A 2017-nucleotide genomic window follows, 5' to 3' on the forward strand; every position below is an offset into this window, starting at 1 on the left:
GGTTTCTTTCTTTTTTTTTTTTTTTTTGAGACAAAACCTTGCTCTGTTACCCAAGCTGGAGTGCAGTGGTGTGACCTCGGCTCACTGCAACCTCCGCCTCCTGGGTCCAGCGGATTCTTCTGCCTCAGCCAACCAAGTAGCTGGGATTAGAAGCAACTGCCACAATGCCCAGTTAATTTTTGTGTTTTTTGTTTGTTTGTTTGTTTGTTTGTTTTAGTAGAAGTGGGTTTCACCATGTTGGCCAGGCTGGTCTCGAACTCCTGACTTCAAGTGATTGGACTCCCAAAGTGCTGGAATTACAGGCATAAGCCACCATGCCTGGCCTCCCCTAATTTGCTTCTTTAAACCTCTCTACATCATCACAAGTTGGGTGTTACTATGATCACTATTTTACAGGTGAGCATATGAGGAACAGAGAGGTTAAGGAGGAACAGGGTGATCTGCTACAACTCTTCAGCAGGGCATTCTGGGCAGGACTGTCTAACTTGTGAGAGGCAAGGGGACTATTTATAGCCTATGTATTCCCGTTAAAGTAACAAACATATATCAAGAATAAATATTACAGTATATTTCTAGCAACCATCTAGAAGTAGGAAATAGTATCAGTACCATATTGTCAGATGACAGTAGGATTAAATAAAACCGGAGTAACTAAGTAACTGACCCTTTATTCCCTGCATTTAAAAGAAAAGTATGTCTTGGAGTTGAATTAAGTAACCTGGGATAGATCTCTAAAAATCTGTAAGTGAAACAGGGGTCACATATTAACATGTTATACTAGAAACAGTGTCTAAGAGAGGAATTTGGCACTGGAATCTACATAGGGAACAATTAAATTATCCATAAATGTTTTTTACTTTATCTTGAAAAAGGTATAGTACCAAAAACTCCACAAACACTGCTAGACCCTCCATAATATGTGTGGGCTCTAAGATAAGAGTGGAAATAGAGGCCCACATAACATGTGTATAAATATTTTAACATTATAAAGCAAACTACTCCAATAATCTGGCCTGCATTTCCACCTAGGTTCTCAATGGCCCACTTCCTGACCACCACCCTCTGGAGTCCAAAGGAGATTTGCTTATTCCCAATGTTATTCCTGCAGGTCAGCCAAAGAGGAGCAAAGAGTCATCTACCTCAATCATGTTCAGGAAATGATCAGGTCAAGATGTGGAGTGAGCCAGCTTTTCTCTTTCGTGCCACATTTTCTGACCCAGCATTTCAAGGTACTTCTAATACACAAAGACTATTACAAGAGGGAGGAAAGAAGGAAGGTCAGTTATCTGAAGAACTGAGGCTAGCTAGAAGCCCAAATTTGGTGTGATGGGGGCCATCAAATCTCAACAGAAACAGCTTTCTCTCTCTGTTATCCTGGACAGGGCTTGTGATTTTTTTTTTTCCTCCACTCAGCCATAGACTCTCAGCTACATATCCTCTAGCCTGGAGTAGTCAAATCAGCTCATCTCTTTCTCTCTCATACCAAACTTTCAAAAACAAAACAAAACAAACCAAAAAAACACTTTGTTATTGGAATAAATGAGAAAAATGTATTTGTGTTTAAATATCTGTGATACATGGACCATCAAAAGCCTCGCTGCTAATGAAGGCAATTATTTAGGTTTACTTAATCTATTAACTTATCAGTTAATAACTGCTATTTATTCTGCTAGAAATTCCCAATGGTATAATTGTTTCTGGCTGTAGCTCCTTCCATGCTTTGTACATCTTACTTGTGGTAGGCAGAATCACAGCTCTCCACAAATGATGTGATTTGGCTGTATCCCCACCCAAATCTCACCTTGAATTGTAATAATTCCATGTGAAGAATGGGATCAGGTAGAGAGAATTTAATCATGGGGAAGGTTTATCCCATGCTGTTCTTGTGGTAGTAAATAAGTTTCACGAGATCTGCTGGGTTTATAAACGGGAGTTCTCCTGCACAAGCTCTCTTGCCTGCCACCACGTGGGATGCAACATTGCTTCTCATTCGCTTTCCACCATGATTTTGAGGGCT

At 40.2% G+C, this 2017-nt stretch overlaps 1 long non-coding RNA gene across 1 annotated transcript; it reads left to right on the forward strand.

The window, feature by feature from the left end:
* The first annotated feature begins 254 nt into the window (after positions 1-254).
* Positions 255-1522, forward strand: LOC107987073 (uncharacterized). The gene is made up of 2 exons (XR_001746689.2): positions 255-396; positions 1109-1522. It is a non-coding gene; the product is annotated as an uncharacterized LOC107987073 (long non-coding RNA).
* Positions 1523-2017: the final 495 nt, after the last annotated feature.

This window comes from Homo sapiens, chromosome 9, assembly GCF_000001405.40.
Source record: "Homo sapiens chromosome 9, GRCh38.p14 Primary Assembly".
Lineage (NCBI taxonomy): Eukaryota > Metazoa > Chordata > Mammalia > Primates > Hominidae > Homo > Homo sapiens.